Raw genomic sequence first — 18,728 nt, 5'->3', positions numbered from 1 at the left:
GAGCCATCGCGCCCAGCTTCCAAAAGTTTTTGACAGAGCTCAGAGGTCTTAACCATGGGCACATCTGAGGAGCATTTTTGAAATGGTTTCCAGCTTCCTCAATAGGAATGGAAGCCAAACCCCGAATTTATGACTCCTTTGAGGAAGTCGAGAGCTGTAAGGAAAGCCAGGAACAGGGGCAAGGGAGAGATGCCTCCCGAATCATCTTGTGCCAATTCTTTCTGGAATCTTTGATGTGATCTCATCTCAGCTGCCCTTTCCATACTTGACACAGTGATTGTGGCACCCACTGGTCTAGCTGCGGTCTACAAGGAACCCCCAAAGGGAAGGGCACAGTGAGCAGGGGCATCGGCCTGAGTGACAAGGATTTGAGAGGGCAGGTTGGATGCAGGGAGAGGACTGGCCAAATGCCATGTGTCTGGCCTTAGACTGCCTGGTTCAAATTGGGCTTCACCCTTTTTGACTTCATGATCTGGTACAAGTTATATGAAAATGTGTTGCTCCTTTTCTAGTCTGTAAAATAATCATGTAATGTGCACTAATAACTGGGAGACTAAGCAGATGAAATGAAGCAAGCTGCATAGAGCACAGAGCTCAGAGCCTGGCCTTTAGGAAGCCCTCAGTAAGGGTTCATGATGCCATGGTGTCTGTCATCATCCTCTTTATCCTCATCATCACCTTCATCATCTTTTTGTTGTTCCGAGGGAATAGTTTAGAGGGACTCATTCCCTGCTATCGTGGGTGAGATGTCTATGAAAAGGACAACCAGTGGGGGAGGGAAGCAAAATTTCGAAGAAGATTCCTGAGAGAGACCCCCCCACCACAACCAAGAACTGAAACTCCACAGTCTGCTGAGCTGACAGTTTGCACATTGGTCTCCTCCCATCTGCCCACGGCACTTTCCTGTTTGTCCTGAGGATGAGGAAACAAACAAGGCTCCCGAGGGTCCCTCAGCACTCACTGAACTGCCCTTCCCCTCTGCTGGGCCATGACCACGGAGCACAGATCCACTGTCCTCCCTGCGTGGTGCACATTGGAGGCTCAGACTCCGTCCTCAAGGCTGGCCAGAAGAGAGGGTGAGACATGAGCCTCCTGATAACGGGTGACGGGGGTGGAGCCCACAGGACTGCAACCTCATACTGCAGGGCTGGAGGCACAGATTGAGTATTTACTATTCTATGGTGTGGGGGGCTCAAGCACAGAGCTCCTCATTAGCCAGAGTCCCCCAAGTTCCCCAAGCTCTAAGGATTTCCTCATCATCATGCAAGAAGAAGAGGAAAGTGAGTGTCCACAGAAGCTCTGGGGCTCTTCCTCTAATCAGGAGAGAGCTTGTGTGTATTATTCGCTTCTTTCCTTTCTTTTACAAGATCCAAGTGCTTTAATTTTCATCTTTTATTATGGGAAAATATACCACGTATAAATGTTAAAAATTATAAATGTAGATTATTTCATATAGAATGGCCAGTATAAACATTTACAATTTCCACTCTTTTTCAGTTTACAGTTTAATCACATTAGGTACATTCACATTGTTTAGCAACCATCACCGCCATCATCTCCAGAACAGTTTTATCCTTGAAAATGGAAATTGCACCCATTAAGCAAACTCCATTCCTCTCTCTCTCGCCCACAACTGGGGGCCACCATTCTATTTTGCAACTCTATAAGTTTAACTACTCTAGACACGTGATATAAGTGGAATCAGAGCGTGTTTAATTTTTTTGGTTTGTTTGTTTTGGAGACAGAGTCTTTCTCTGTCACCCAGGCTGGAGTGTTGTGGCATGGTCTCAGCTGAATGCAACCTCCACATCGAGGGTTCAAGCGATTCTTGTGTCTCAGTCTCCCGAGTAGCCGGGATTACAGGCGTGCGCCACCACGCCCAGCTAATTGTTGTATTTTTAATAGAGATCAGTTTTCACCATATTGGCCAGGCTGGTCTCAAACTCCTGACCTTCAGTGATCCGCCTGCCTCAGCCTCCCAAAGTGCTGGGGTTACAGGTGCGAGCCACTGAGCCTGGTCGTCTTTATCCTTTTGGGATTTATTTATTTCACTGACGAGAATGTCTTCAAGGTTCATCCGTGTCGTAGCCCGTGTCAGAAGTGCCTGTCTGGGTGTTTGGGTGTTTTTTTTGTTTTGTTTTGTTTTGTGTTCACATGGAGTCTCACTCTGTCGCACAGGCTGGAGTGCAGTGGCACAATCTGGGCTCACTGCAACCTCCGCCTCCCGGGTTCCAGCGATTCTTGTGCCTCAGCCTCCCGAGTAGCTGGGACTATAGGCACGCGTCACCACGCTCGTCTAATTTTTCGCATTTTCAGTAGAGACAGGGTTTCACCAAGATGGCCAAGCTAGTCTTGAATTCCTGACCTCAGGTGATCCGCCCACCTCGGTCTTCCAAGATGCTGGGATTACAGGCGTGAGCCACTGCACCGGCCAGAAGTGCCTGCCTTTTTAAGGCTGAATAGTCTTCCATCGCATGAATGAACTGCAGTGTGCTTTTTCATTCATCTGTCCACGAACCCTTGGGTTGCTTCCACATTTTGGCTGTTGTGAATACTGCTGCTATGAATTTGGGTGTACGAATCTCTCTTCCACTCCTGGCTTCTAATTCTTTTTGGCAGGTACCCACAAGTGCAACTGCGGGAACATCCGCTAATCCTGTTTCTACTTTTTCCGGTACACGCCATACTATTTTCCCTGTTCCTTCACGGTTTTACATTCCCTCCAATCAGATTCGAGCATTCCTACTTCCCTCTAGTTTCACCAATGCTTGTTTGTTTATCATATCCATCCAAATGTGTGGTATCACAATTTTGGTTTGATTTGCACTTCCCTATGATGAGTGATTTTGAACATCATTTTAGACGCTTATTGGCCATTGCTATATCTTCTTTAGGGACACGTCTATTCGAGTCTTCTGACCATTGTCAATGGGATGCTTTGGATTTCTTGTTGTTCAGTTCTAGCTGTTCTTTGTATACGTTGCCTATCAGCCTGTTTTCACAGATATGATTTTCAAATATTTTTCCTAATCCATGGGTTATCTTTTCACTCAGTTCACAGTGTTTGCTGATGCACAAAAGTGTCTGTCATTTAGATGTAATCCAAGGAATCTAATTTTCTTTTGTTGCCTGTGCTTTTGGTGTCATATCCCAGAAAGCATTGCCGAATCTGATGTCATGAAAGTGTGGCCAATGTTTTCTTTTAGGCATATTATACTTTCAGCACTTGGGGTTAGGTCTTTGATCCAGTTTGTGTTAATTTTTGCACCTGGTGTGACATAGCGTCCACCTTCATTCTTCTCCATGTGGAAATCAAGTTTCTCCAACACCATTTCTTGAAAAGGCTGCTTTTCCACCAATGGACTTTCTTAGCACTCATGTGAAAAATCATTTGAACATATAGGTGAGAAGTTATTTCTGGGCTCAAAAACAAACAAACAACAGACAACAGATAAGGATGCAGCATGGGCCGGGTGCGGTTGCTCACGCCTGTAATCCAAGCACTTTGGGAGGCCAAGGCAGGCGGATCACCTGAGGTCAGGAGTTCAAGACCAGCCTGACAGACAGGAAGAAAACCCCATCTCTACTACAAATACAACATTAGCTGGGCGTGCTGGGGCATGCCTGTAATCCCAGCTGCTCGGGAGATGGAGGCAGGAGAATCACTTGACCCCAGGAGGCAGAGGTTGTGGTGAGCCAAGATTGCACCATTACACTCCAGCCTAGGCAACAAGAGCGAAACTCTGTCTCAAAACAAAAAACCAAAGACAAAAAATCCAGCATGATTTCGAGAGCAGAAAGAGAATAGCTGAAAAACCAGCATAATGAGAAAGTTAGGAAGCTTCTTACCAAAGCATCTGGAAAAATGCAAGAAATTCTTGTGAACTAAAATTTTCATACTGTACTGTCAAACACTAGAACTCACTTATTCCATCTTTCTGTATTTTGGGACCCAATTATCCACTTCTCTTCATTCCCCATCCCACCCTTTTTCTTCCTACCGTCTGCTAACCACCTTTATACTTTCCACCTTCCTGAGATTCCTTTTGTGTGTAGGTGTGTGATGGAGTCTCTTTCTGTTGCCAATCTCATTCACAATTGCCACAAAAAGATAAAATACCTAGGAATACAGCTAACCATAGAGGTGAGAGATCTCTACAATGAGAATTACAAAACACTGCTCAAAGAAATCAGAGATGATAGCCCGGTGCAGTGGCTCACGCCTGTAATCCCAGCACTTTGGGAGGCCAAGGTCGGTGGATTACGAGGTTAGGAGTTTGAGACCAGCCTGACCAACATGGTGAAACCTGAACTCTACTGAAAATACAAAAATTACCTGGGCATAGTGGCGGGCCCCTGTAATCCCAGCTGCTCAGGAGGCTGAGGCAAGAGAATTTCTTGAACCCAGGAGGCAGAGGTTGCAGTGAGCTGAGATTGTGCCACTGCACTCCAGTCTGGGCCACAGAGTGACCTGGTCTCAAAAAAAAAAAAAAAAAAGGAAAGAAATCAGAGATGACACAAGCAAATGAAGAAAGAAAAAAACATGCCACGCTCACGGACAGGTAGAATCAATATCATTAAAATGGTCATACTGCCCAAGCATTACAGATTCAGTGTTATTCCTATCAAATTATCAATGAAATTCTTCATAGAACTAGAAAAAACTATTTTAAAATGGGCGTGGTGGCTCATGCCTGTAATCCCAGCACTTTGGGATGCAAGTTTATCTCTTCAGGTCAGCCTGGCCAACATGGCAAAGCCCTGTCTGTACTAAAAATAAACAAATTAGCTGGGTGTGATGGCTATAATCCCAGCTACTCAGGAGGCTGAAGCAGGAGAATTGCTTGAACCCAGGAGGTGGAGGTTGTGATGAGCTGACATCACGCCACTGCACTCCAGCCTGGGCAACAGAGGGAGACTCCATCTCAAAAAATACTAATTAAAATAAAAATAAATAAAATAAAATTCACTTGGAACCAGAAAAAGAGCCCAAATAGTCAAGAGGATCCTAAGCAAAAAGAAAAAATCTGGAGGAATCATATTACCCAACCTCAAACTATACTACAGGGCTACAGAAATCAAAACAGCATGATACTGGTACAAAAACAGACAAATAGACCAATGCAACAGAATAGAGTCTGGAAATAAGGTTGCACACCTACAACCACCTTATTTTTGGCAAAACCGACAAAAACAAGCAATGGGGAAATGACTCCCTATTCAATAAATGGTGTGAGATAACTGGCTAGCAATATGCAGGAGATTAAAACTGGAACCTTTCCTTATACCATATACAAAAATCAACTCAACATGAATAAAAGGTTTAAACTATAGAAACCCTGGAAAACAATCTAGGCAATACCATTCTGGACATAAAAGCAGGTAAAGATTTCATGACGAAGATGCCAAAAGCAATCACAACAAAAGCAAAAACTGATAAATGGGATCTAATTAAACTTAAGAGCTTCTGCAAAGCAGAAGAAACTATTAGCAGAGTAAACAACCTACAAAATGGTAGAAAATATTTGCAAACTGTGCATCTGACAAAGGTCTAATACCTAGCATCTATAAAAAACTTAAATTTACAAGAAAAAGACAACCCCATTAAAAAGTGGACAAAGAACATGAACAGACACTTTTCAAAAGAAGACATACATACAGCCAACAAGCATATGAAAATGTTCAGTATTACTGATGATTTGAGAAATGAAAATCAAAACCACAATGAGATACCATCTCACACCAGTCAGAAAGACCATTATTAAAAAATCAAAAAATAACAGATGCTGGCAAGGTTACAGAGAAAAGGGAACCCTTATACACTGTTGGTGAAAGTATAAATTAGTTCAACCATTGTGGAAAGCAGTGAGATGATTCCTCAAAGAGCTAAAAATAGAACTATCATTCAACCTGGCAATCCTATTACTGAGTATATGCCCAGAGGAATATAAATCATTCTACCATAAGGACACATACACGTTCATGTTCGTTGCAGCACTATTCAAAATAGCAAAGACATGGAACCAACCTCAATGCCCATTAATGACAGATTGGATAAAGAAAATGTGGTGCGTATACACCATGGAATACCATGCAGCCATATGAAAGAATGAGATCGTGTCTTTTGCAGGAACATAGATGAAGCTAGAGGCCATTGTCCTCAACAAACTAACACAGGAGCAGAAAACCAAATACTGCATGTTCTCACATATAAGTGGGAGTTAAATAATGAGGACTCATGGACACAAAGAGGGGAGCAACACACACTGGATCCCACTTGAGGGTGGAGGGTGGGAAGAGGGAAAGGATCAGAAAAAAATAACTACTGGGTTCTAGGCTTAATACTTGTGTGACAAAATAATCTGTACAACATACCCGTGACATGAGTTTACTTATGTAACAAACCTGCACCAGTACCCCTGAACCTAAAAGTTATAAAAAAGATTTGTTGAACTTTGTTCAGAGTATGTCTATGAAGAGTAGGTTATGCGGCAATAACAAATAGTCCCCAAAGTATGAGTAGATCAAAGTTCAAAAAGTGCATTTCTTTTTCTTTTTCTTTTGTCTTTTCTTTTCTTTCTTTTTTTTTTTTTTGAGATGGAGTCTTGCTCTGTTGCCCAGGCTGGAGTGCAGTGGTGCGTTCTCAGCTCACTGCAACCTCTGTCTCCCGGGTTCACGCCATTCTCCTGCCTCAGCCTCCCTAGTAGCTGGGATTACAGACATCTGCCACCACGCCCGGCTAATTTTTGTACTTTTTAGTAGAGATGGGGTTTCACCATATTGGCCAGGTTGGTCTCGAACTCCTGACCTTGTGATCCACCCTCCTCAGCCCCCCAAAGTGCTGGGATTACAGGCATGAGCCACCACACCTGGCCCTTCTTTTTCACAAATCAGTTGCAAGTGGTTTTCGGAGGTTGCCAAGGCACCTCTCAGGCATATGATCATACAGGAACTGATGTCTGCTTTGCCACATTTTTTTTTTTTTTTTGAGGCGGAGTCTCGCTCTGTCACCCAGGCTGAAGTGCAGTGGCATGATCTCGGCTCACTGCAAGCTCTGCCTCCCAGGTTCACGCCATTCTCCTCCCTCAGCCTCCCAAGTAGCTGGGACTACAGGTGCTTGCCACCACGCTCTGCTAATTTTTTGTATTTTTTTAGTAGAGATGGGGTTTCACCATGTTAGCCAGGATAGTCTCGATGTCCTGACCTCGTGATCCACCCGCCTCGGGCTCCCAAAGTGCTGGGATTACAGGCGTGAGCCACCGCGCTCGGCCGCCACCCTTTTTTATAACTTCAAGCTTTGTGTTACATTTCCCAATCGGCCCAGGGAGGAAAAGCTGAACATAGACATATCACTCCTGCTCACCTTGCACTGGCTAGAATTTAGTCACATGGTCAACCCTAAGTGCAAGAGAAGCAAGGAAATGTAGGTTATCTGTATGCTGAGGATGCAGAGAAAGTGGGTTTGGGTGACCAGCTTGCCACTCTGCCTCAGTGCAGAATAGCATCATTTTAGTCAGGAAACAGTTATAAAAGGGGTTATGGCTGGCCGCGGTGGCTCATGCCTGTAATCCCAGAACTTTGGGAGGCTGAGGCGGGTGGATCACTTGAGGTTAGGAGTTTGAGACCAGCCTGACCAACATGTTGAAACCTCAGCTCTACTAAAAATACAAAAATTAGCCAGGCGTCGTGGCTCGTGCCTGTAATCCCAGCTACTCAGGAGGCTGAGGCAGGAGAATCCTTTGAATCTGTGAGGCAGAGGTTGCAGGGAGGTGGAGGTTGCAATGAGCCAAGATCGCGCGACTGCACTCCAGCCTGGGTGACAGGGCAAGACTCTGTCTTAAAAAATAAAAATAAATCGGCGGAGGGGAGGCGGATTATGGTAAAATGTGTTAGAAGTGGTTTCAGAAAAAAAAGAAAAGATTGTAAGAGAACAATTTATGATGTACCATGTTGCAAGAAAATGTAACTTTGAAATGTCCATTAAAATAAGGGCTAAGTCCAGTTTAGGTCAAGTAAGTTTTTGTTTATTTATTTTTTTAACAAGTCTCAGACCTTTATTCCAAATTTCCAGTTGATTACCTAAATATTTTCTCTCAGTGGCTCTGGAAGCCTGAGATGGCAATTCTCTTTCTCTGGTTCGGGTGAGTAAAACTGTGTAAACCTGAGTGATGAAATAAAGCAAACCCGTAGCCCCAGTCCTGTTGTGTATGATGTATCCCACCGAGAAGGCAACAGCTTTCTAATCCCGGTGCTCCTTTAGGGCAGGCTTTGCTTTTAAGATGTTTGAAGCACTTTTTATATAAGTGCAATTTCTTAGAGTTCTAAAAGCTGCTTAAGTGATCAATAAAGTTTTGTTTCATTTGTAAGTCTAGGTAGGTGTTTGAAGGTCTTTAGAGAATCACATGTGTTACCTTTGTGGTTTTAGGTTTGTGAAGTCACGATCAGAAGAGAATGTTTTTAACAATATCTCTTCGCTAGATTTAAAAATGAACTGTTAGTTGAATACAAAAGTTCATTACCCCAAAGTTAATAAATTATTAACTGAAAACACTAGTACCAATAATTATAATTTTCTTTGGACATACGTTTTCCTCAGACACAAAAATTCCAGTTGGGACAGAATCTTTTTTTTTTTTTTTTGAGGCAGTCTTGCTCTGTCTCCCAGGCTGGAGTGCAGTGTCACGATCTCGGCTCACTGCAAGCTCTGCCTCCTGGGTTCACGCCATTCTCCTGCCTCAGCCTCCTGAGTAGCTGGGACTACAGGCACCCGCCACCACGCCTGGCTAATTTTTTTGTATTTTTAGTAGAGACGGGGTTTCACCGTGTTAGCCAGGGTGGTCTCGATCTCCTGACCTCTTGATCCACCCGCCTCAGCTTCCCAAAGTACTGGGATTACAGACGTGAGCCACCGTGCCTGGCCCCAAGACAGAATCTTAGACCTGTTACAAACATCCTCTACTCTCAAGTAGTCAGTTCAATGACCGAATCCCCCACTCTATGGAGACACCCGCTGTGAAAATGCACACCTGATAATAGAGAAGAAACTGCTCACAAATACTCTGAACACAGAGAGATTTCTAGAATGACACTTGTGGGATGTGCCAGAGAACAGGCTCTACACGGGAGGGGACACAGTGTGCACACCTTCTAAATTGGGTTGGAAGGAGGGAAAACTGGATTTTGTTTTACCCATATGACCATCTTTGTGATAGAAATAAGGGATATATTAGTACCTGAACTATTGATTGCAGGAGGTCAGAAGAGCTACTAACTACCCCCCACTCTCTTTTCATGCTTCGGAGACTGATCATAAAATAGCAATTACTCATTTGAATAGTGAATATTGCTTAAGTTCAGAAGATCCAAAGGTCTTACTCTAGACCATGCTGTCCCCTAAGCACAGGAGTGTGACTTTTGGGCAACAGGGCATCGTTTGTCTGGGAGCAGGTGAAGGGCACCTGGCTGGACAGGAGGAGGACTTCTCCCTTTCACGACTCCCCAAGGCCTCATCTCTGGTCTCAGGGGACAGCAGCATTCTCGTCTGTGGTTGCAGCTTAGGTTCGTACCAATGCTCTTTAAAAAGTTACCTGCTAATGCACCACCAACCTGGTGGACCATCATATTGAAAACTCCTTTGACATTTGTGGAAAAGCTCTTCTGGAATATCAAGAATTAAGGAAACATGCCAAAGAAATGGATAGAGAAAAAAAATGTTCTTGGCTTATTTCTTGTCCCATCATTTTTATTTCAACATTTGTCTTATGCCTGCTTTACTTCTCCATTCTGTCCCCACTTCAGCCTCTAGTGGAGCCTTCACTCCTCTTTGGTTTCTCTAACGCTACCAACAGAGTTGCCATGCAAATGTCTGCTGTTCGATGCTGTAAGAGACTCAGTGGAAGATGCTAGGTAACTAACCAAGCAGAAGCTTAGTTCTGCTCTAAACTAAGCTCTGGTTATCTACTCCGGATGCAGGCTGTCTAACTCTCCTCTAAAGTATTTATTTATTTATATATTTATTTATTTATTTGAGACAGTTTCACTCTGCTGCTGGAGTGCTGTGGCACAATCTTGGCTCACTGCAACCTCTGCCTCCCTGGCTCAAGTGATTCTCTTGCCTCAGCTTCTTGAGTAGCTGGGATTACAGGCATGTGCCACCATGTCTGGCTAATTTTTTCTTTCTTTCTTTCTTTCTTTTTTTTTTTTTTGAGACAGAGTCTCACTCTGTTGCCCAGGCTAGAGTGCGGTGACACATTATCAGCTCACAGCAACCTCCGCTTCCCGGGTTCAAGTGATTCTCCTGCCTCAGCCTCCTGAGTATCTGGGATTACAGGTGTGCACCACCACGCCTGGCAAATGTTTGTATTTTTAGTAGAAATGGGGTTTCACCATGTTGGCCAGGCTGGTCTTGAACTCCTGACCTCAGGTGATCTGCCCACTTTGGCCTCCCAAGGTGCTGGGATTACAGGCATGAGCCACGGTGCCCAGACAATTTTTTTCTATTTTTAGTAGAGTTGGAGTTTCACTGTGTTGGCAAGGCTAGTATGGAACTCCTGACCTCAAGTGATCCACCTGCCTTGGCCTCCCAAAGTGCTGGGATTACAGGTGTAAGCTACCATGCCTGGTCCTCTAAAGTATTTATGAATGTGCAGTGGAGGTAAAAATTTACAACACTGAAAAATAAGCCCATCAGGCAATAATTTGCCAGAATCTTGCAGGCATTTCCATTAGCTAAGATGCCAGTATTTCTTCACTTAGCAATAAATCAGAGTCTCGCAGAAAAATTTTACACAGGGGTCTCCCAGAGGTGGCCTTGATTTGCACCTGGCTGAGGTGATGGCATTGGATTGAAAAATTTAGGCAGCAGGATACAGTTGATGTGGAAATTAAAACAGAGCACCTCGCCAGCCCAAAGTGAGGCACTTCCAGAAAGTTAGAAGTATGGTACAGAAATGCAAACTCCACACCTCCCATGCTTCCCGCTGCCTTCAGAAGTCAGCCTGCTGCCTGCTCTCTCCCCAGCAACACTCACCTGCTCTCCCCATTGCTGTCAACCAAATGCTCTCCATAGTCATATGGAAACTGCACCAGACACAAGACAGGCAGACAGTAGGTGAAGAAATATGTAGTGGCAAATTGTGCCCTAGGAACTGCAGTCTCCACCAAGGAGCTCCCTAAGAATAGGGCTACCAGGGAAAGAGGCTCAATTGATGTATAAAAATGATTGCAATATGTCATGCAATGTATTTCCTCAGTGCATCAGGAAGCAGCCCACGGGATAGCAACATTCCTCATTTTTCCAGAAGAGCAGTTGTAGATGAACACCAGCTGGATACCAGGAAGGGGGCTAGGATGTAAGTCTAGTGCAAGGCATGCAGCAGAAAAGCAGAGCAGAGTAGTAGAAACAGGGCTGACAGTGCTAGGTGACAAAAATAGTGTCTTACATGACAGCATCTTTTTTTTTTTTTTTTTTTTTTTTGAGACAGAGTCTCACTCTGTTGCCCAGGCTGGAGTGCAGTGCCACGATCTCGGCTCACTGCACCCTCTGCCACCAAGGTTCAAGTGATTCTCCTTCCTCAGCCTCCCGAATAGCTGGGATTACAGGCGCCTGCCATCGCATGTGACTAATTTTTGTATTTTTAATAGAGATCGGATTTCACCATGTTGGCCAGGCTGGTCTTGAACTCCTGACCTCGTGATCCGCGTGCCTCAGCCTCCCAAAGTGCTGGGATTACAGGTGTGAGCCGCCGCGCCCAGCCGACAGCATCTCTTTTGAAATGAAAAGAAGCTGGTGAGGCACATGTTGAAGTGTTGCAGATTTAACACATTAAAAAGTATTTACTATAGGAATCTAAAACTATAGGAATTTTAGAAAGTGCAATTAATATATTTAAGTAAGCCATGTCTAAAAAAATTTGAGCCAAAAAATCATAGTTGAAATAAGTTAATATTAAGTGGGAGATGGGTGAGACAGCAAACCATGTAGGACAATAAGAAACTGAGGCAACTGGAGGCTGAATTACAGTGTGGGATATTGTGTCATGGTTTGGTGAAATAAATATGAGCTTTTCTAGAATATAGAGTGCCCCTTTCAAATGCAAACCAGTCAGGGCCCAGGGTCTTTCTATCGTTATTCTTTGTCATGTGGTTTTTATTACGGTCACAAAATGCCTGTAGCAACTCCAGGCTTTGCTTCCAAAGTCCAGGCAGGAAGTAGAAGAAAGGGTAATGTCAAAGGGCAAAAGACATTTTTTTCCCTCAAAGTGGTTTGATGTTCTATAACTATGTTGCCACTCACTGAGCTACCCTTTGCAAGAAAAGTCCCAAAGCCCTGTGGCTTCTGCCTCATATTTTATACAGCTGAAACTAGCAGAGCTCTTTCCAGCCTTCCTCAGGGACTCTGAAATTCTCAGGCACGGAACTTGTGAGCTTGATGAAAAGACAAACTCTGCTGGAAATAAACACCATGTTGTATTCAGAATAGCAGCTCCTCCAGCCACCTGAAGTTTGTGATAGAGCTGAGCTCACAGCTCTTCTGCCTTTCTTTCTTTTTTTTTTTTTTGAGACAGAGTCTCGCTCTGCCACCCAGGTTGGAGTGCAGTGGCGCGATCTCGGCTCACTGCAACTTCCACCTCCTGGGTTCAAGCGATTCTCCTGTCTCAGCCTCCTGAGTAGCTGGGACTACAGGCAAGCGCCACCACACCCAGCCAATTTTTGTATTTTTAGTAGAGACAGGTTTTCACCGTGTTAGCCAGAATGGTCTCGATCTCTTGAGCTCGTGATCTGCCCATCTTGGGCTCCCAAAGTGCTAGGATTACAAGTGTGAGCTCTGGCGCTTGGCCTCTTCTGCCTTTCTTTTCTGAGAAAGCTTCTGTCATTCAAGCATACAGATTTTGGGTAGACCAACCCCACTGGTTTACCCTCTGAGTCCTAACCTGTAGTTGGCAATATATAAGATGTCACTTCCTAAACAATGACGAATTGTTTCCATTGTGATTGTTCTTTTTTGTTTTTGTCCTAATTTAATGGGCCTTTGACATATAAACTAAGGAGTAAGATTTACAAAATATTTTTAAAAACTAATGATCTTGCTGAGAAAAGTATATTTCCCTTTTTCTATTCCTCACATTAAGAACAAATAAAAACCTGACATTATATATAAAACAAACACAGGAAGACTCTGAAAAAGTGCAAGAAAGCAGAGCATCTAGTGACACAGAGATCCAAGGAAACACTAGTGAATTCCCCTGGTATTATTTTTGCCTTATATATCTTACATTAGGTAATGCAAAATTTAGTGACTTGGGAACATTAACAGGCACAGACAAAAAATGCCCCAATAAAAGCCTGCTCTCTATAGCCAAAGGACCATGAAAAGGGCATCCCAAAAGGAGAGAAAACTTTGGGATAATAGTTATTCTGCTCTAGTCAAACACAATGGAAAAAAAAGGCATACCGATCTGAAAGGAAAGCATAAAACTGCCCCTATTTGCCATGACATAATAAATCTCAAGGAATCCGCAAAATTAACTCCATGAATGAATAAGCGTGTTCATTAAGGTCTCAGCATACAAGATACACGCACACACAGTCAGCCCTCCATATCTGCAGGTTCTGCAGTCACAGATTCAACCAGTCATGGATCAAAAAGATTTGAAAAAATAAAGATAACAATAAAATAAAAATCAGTGCAAATGAAAATATAGTATAAGAACTATGTATGTAGCATTTACATGGTATTTGGTATTATAAGTAATCTAGAGACAGTTTAAAGTATATGGAGAATAGGCACTGATTATATGTAAGTACTATACCATTTTATCTAAGGGACAGAAGCAGCCACAAATTTTGGTATCCATCTGGGATCCTGGGACCAATTCCCCATGGATACCAAGAGACAAATCTACTAACATATTGGCACCAAAATTAACAATACAATATCATTTAATATCATTTGAAAAATACTTAAGTATAAGTTTAACAAAGGACTTATGTGCTGAAAACTAAACAATGCTGATGAAAAAAGATCCAAACAAATGGAGAGACATACCATGTTCATGTTATGAAAGACTTAGGACTTAACATAGTGAAGATGAAAATTATCCAAATGAACCAAATTGATACACAGATTTTATGCAATATCTATTATAATCTTAGCAAGATTTTTTATTAAGACTTTATTCCAAAATTTATATGAAAAGGCAAGTAAACTAAAATAGCTAAAAGAACCTTGAAAAAGTACAATAAAGTTGCATTAACCAGCTTCCACAATCTCAAAATTTATTATATAGCTACAATAATCAAGATTGTGTAATATTGGTCAATAGACAATGGCAGACACATAGACCAATTGAAAGGAATAGAAAATCGAAAAATAGAATTACACAAATATGCCCAACTTATTTTTGAAAAAGTTGAAAAAAAGATTCAAAAGAGGAAAGATAACCTTTCAACAGATAGTGCTAAAACAATTGGACATTTATAGGCAAAAAATAAAATTCAACCTAATTCTCACATTTTTTACAAAAATTAGATGATGAACTTAAATGTAAAACATAAAAATTTTAGGTAAAAAAACATAAGAGAAAGTCATCAGGATCTCGAGCTAGGCAGAGTTCTTAGTCTTGAGACCAAAAGCACAATTCATGGAGAAAAAATTAATGTCAGATTACACTAAAATTTAAAACATTTTTCTTCGTTAAAAAAAAAAAAAACCCTGTTAAGAGAATGGAAGGAAACTACACACTGGAAGAAAATATTTGCAAACCACATATCAAACAAAGTACCAGTATCTCAAATCCATAATAAACCTTTAACACTCAACATTAAAGAGAAACATCAGCAAGATGGTAGAACAGGAAGCCTCAGGTCCTCATTTTTCTACAGAGACACTGACATAACAACAATATGTGGACCAAATTGTCTTTGTGAGAATTTTAGAATTCAATTAAGGGATTGCAGCACTCCAGATGGGCACAAAGCCAAGAAGAGGCTCACTGAAGTGGGTAGAAAAATGTATAGCATTCCCCTTCCCCACAGTTCTCTCTTCCCTTGGCACAGTGTGGCAACTTCAGGAGTGAGTAAACTCCCAACTTCTAGTTTCTCCCTGATTAGGGAAGGAAAAGAGCAGAACGTTCATTCAATATTCTGGCTTTTTTTTGAGGCGGGGGCCCAGGGGGCACTGCTGGAGGGGGAGGGCGCTGCTTGGGCAACTGGTTTCTTTCTTGCATAACTTGAAGTAGTTACAGGAATCAGCATAGTTTAGACGCCAGTTAGGGGGCCACTGAGAAGAGAGGTGAGTGCTGTGGATGGTTATAGTTCCAGAGATACTGCAGTACTATAGAATGACACAAGGAGAGATTGTGAAATACTGAGAAGAAGTAGGGACAAATAGCTTTAACAGAAAGTTATTCACATAAGCCCAGAGAAGACTTATCCCTAGAAAGGCTTTGAGAGGTCTCCAGAACCTCTAGCTGGGTTTATTTTTGAGGGCCTATCCCTTCTACAAAACCCGTCAGGGAGAGGTGGCTTTTTAAAAATATTCAAATCTAAACAAAAGATCACAAAGTATATAAAGAAACAGAGAGAAGTAGCCAAATCAAAGAAACAAGGTAAAACTCCAGGAGCTGACCCTAAAAAACCTAAGAACTACGAAGTACCTGACAAAGAACCCAAAATGCTTATCATAAGTATGCTCAATGAGATAAAAGAGAACATAAACAACTAAATGAAATAAGGAAAATAATGCATGAGCAAAATGAGAATATCAACAAAGAGTCAGAAACTATACAAAAAAATAACCAAATAGAAAATCTGGAGCTGAATGATAAAATAACTGACATAAAAATGTAATAGAGGAGTCAACAGCAGATTTGATCAAGCAGGATCAGAGGAAAGAAACAGAAAACTTGAAGACAGATCGTTTGAAAGTACTGTGTCAGAGGAAAAAAAAGAAAAAAAGAATAAAGAAAAGTGAAGGAACCTAAGGCATTTATGGGGCACCATCAGGCAGACCAATAAATGCATTATGGAAACCCCAGAAAGAGAAGAGAAGCTAAAGAAGAAGAGAGTTTGTCTGTTTGGTTTTTGTCCTTGTGACAGTTTGCTGAGAATGATGGGTTCCAGCTTCATCCATGTCCCTACAAAGGACATGAACTCATCATTTTTTATGGCTGCATAGTATTCCATGGTGTATACGTGCCACATTTTCTTAATCCAGTCGGTCGTTGTTGGACATTTGGGTTGGTTCCAAGTCTTTGCTATTGTGAATAGTGCTGCAATAAACATACATGTGCATGTGTCTTTATAGCAGCATGATTTATAATCCTTTGGGTATATAGGCAGTAATGGGATGACTGGGTCAAATGGTATTTCTAGTTCTAGATCCCTGAGGAATCGCCACACCAACTTCCACAATGGTTGAACTAGTTTACAGTCCAACCAACAGTGTAAAAGTGTTCCTATTTCTCCACATCCTCTCCAGCACCTGTTGTTTCCTGACTTTTTAATGATAGCCATTCTAACTGGTGTGAGATGGTATCTCATTGTGGTTTTGATTTGCATTTCTCTGATGGTCAGTGATGAGCATTTTTTCATGTGTCTTTTGGCTGCATAAATGTCTTCTTTTGAGAAGTGCCTGTTCATATCCTTTGCCCAATTTTTGATGGGGTTGTTTGTTTTTTTCTTGTAGATTTGTTTGAGTTCATTATAGATTCTGGATATTAGCCCTTTGTCAGATAAGTAGATTGCAAAAATTTTCTCCCATTCTGTAGGTTGCCTGTTCACTCTGATGGTAGTTTCTTTTGCTGTGCAGAAGCTCTTTAGTTGAATTAGATCCCATTTGTCAATTTTGGCTTTTGTTGCCATTGTTTTTGGTGTTTTAGACATGAAGTCCTTGCCCATGCCTATGTCCTGAATGGTATTGCCTAGGTTTTCTTCTAGGGTTTTTATGGTTTTAGGTCTAACATTTAGGTCTTTAATCCATCTTGAATTAATTTTTGTATAAGGTGTAAGGAAGGGATCCAGTTTCAGCTTTCTACATATGGCTAGCCAGTTTTCCCAGCAACATTTATTAAATAGGGAATCCTTTCTCTATTTCTTGTTTTTGTCAGGTTTGTCAAAGATCAGATGGTTGTAGATATGCGGCATTATTTCTGAGGGCTCTGTTCTGTTCCATTGGTCTATATCTCTGTTTTGGTACCAGTACCATGCTGTTTTGGTTACTGTAGCCTTGTAGTATAGCTTGAAGTCAGGTAGTGTGATGCCTCCAGCTTTGCTCTTTTGGCTTAGGATTGACTTGGCAGTGTGGGCTCTTTTATGGTTCCATATGAACTTTAAAGTAGTTTTTTCCAATTCTGTGAAGAAAGTCATTGGTAGCTTGATGGGGATGGCATTGAATCTATAAATTACCTTGGGCAGTATGGCCATTTTCACGATATTGATTCTTCCTATCCATGAGGATGGAATGTTCTTCCATTTGTTTGTATCCTCTTTTATTTCATTGAGCAGTGGTTTATAGTTCTCCTTGAAGAGGTTGTTCATGTCTCTTGTAAGTTGGATTCCTAGGTATTTTATTCTCTATGAAGCAATTGTGAATGGGAGTTCACTCATGATTTGGCTCTCTGTTTGTCTGTTATTGGTGTATAAGAATACTTGTGATTTTTGCACATTGATTTTGTATCCTGAGACTTTGCTGAAGTTGCCTATCAGCTTAAGGAGATTTTTCAGCTGAGATGATGGGGTTTTCTAGATATACAGTCATGTCATCTGCAAATAGGGACAATTTGACTTCCTCTTTTCCTAATTGAATACCCTTTATTTCTTTCTCCTGCCTGATTGCCCTGGCCAGAACTTCCAACACTATGTTGAATAGGAGTGGTGAGAGAGGGCATCCCTGTCTTGTGCCAGTTTTCAAAGGGAATGCTTCCAGTTTTTGCCCATTCAGTATGATATTGGCTGTGGGCTTGTCATAGATAGTTCTTATTATTTTGAGATATGTCCCATCAATACCTAATTTATTGAGAGTTTTTAGCATGAAGAGTTGTTGAATTTTGTCAAAGGCCTTTTCTGCATCTACTGAGATAATCATATGGTTTTTGTCATTGGTTCTGTTTACATGCTGGATTACGTTTTTTGATTTGCATATGTTGAACCAGCCTTGCATCCCAGGGATGAAGCCCACTTGATCATGGTGGATAAGCTTTTTGATGTGCTGCTGGATTCGGTTTGCCAGTATTTTATTGAGGATTTTTGCATCGATGTTCATCAGGGATATTGGTCTAAAATTCTCTTTTTTTGTTGTGTCTCTGCCAGGCTTTGGTATCAGGATGACGCTGGCCTCATAAAATGAGTTAGGGAGGATTCCCTCTTTTTCTATTGATTGGACTAGTTTCAGAAGGAATGGTACCAGCTCCTCCTTGTACCTCTGGTAGAATTCGGCTGTGAATCCATCTGGTCCTGGGCTTTTTTTGTTGATAAGCTATTAATTATTCCTTCAATTTCAGAGCCTGTTATTGTCTATTCAGAGATTCGACTTCTTCCTGGTTTAGTCTTGGGAGGGTGGATGTGTCAAGGAATTTATTCATTTCTTCTAGATTTTCTCATTTATTTGCATAGAGGTGTTTATAGTATTCTCTGATGGTAGTTTGTATTTCTGTGGGATTGGTGGTGATATACCCTTTATCATTTTTTATTGCGTCTATTTGATTCTTCTCTCTTTTCTTCTTTATTAG

The sequence above is a fragment of the Homo sapiens genome, chromosome 9 (assembly GCF_000001405.40).
Source record: "Homo sapiens chromosome 9, GRCh38.p14 Primary Assembly".
In the NCBI taxonomy this organism is placed as follows: Eukaryota; Metazoa; Chordata; class Mammalia; order Primates; family Hominidae; genus Homo; species Homo sapiens.
The sequence above is the reverse complement of the archived record's forward strand: the minus strand, read 5'-3'. Positions refer to the sequence as shown.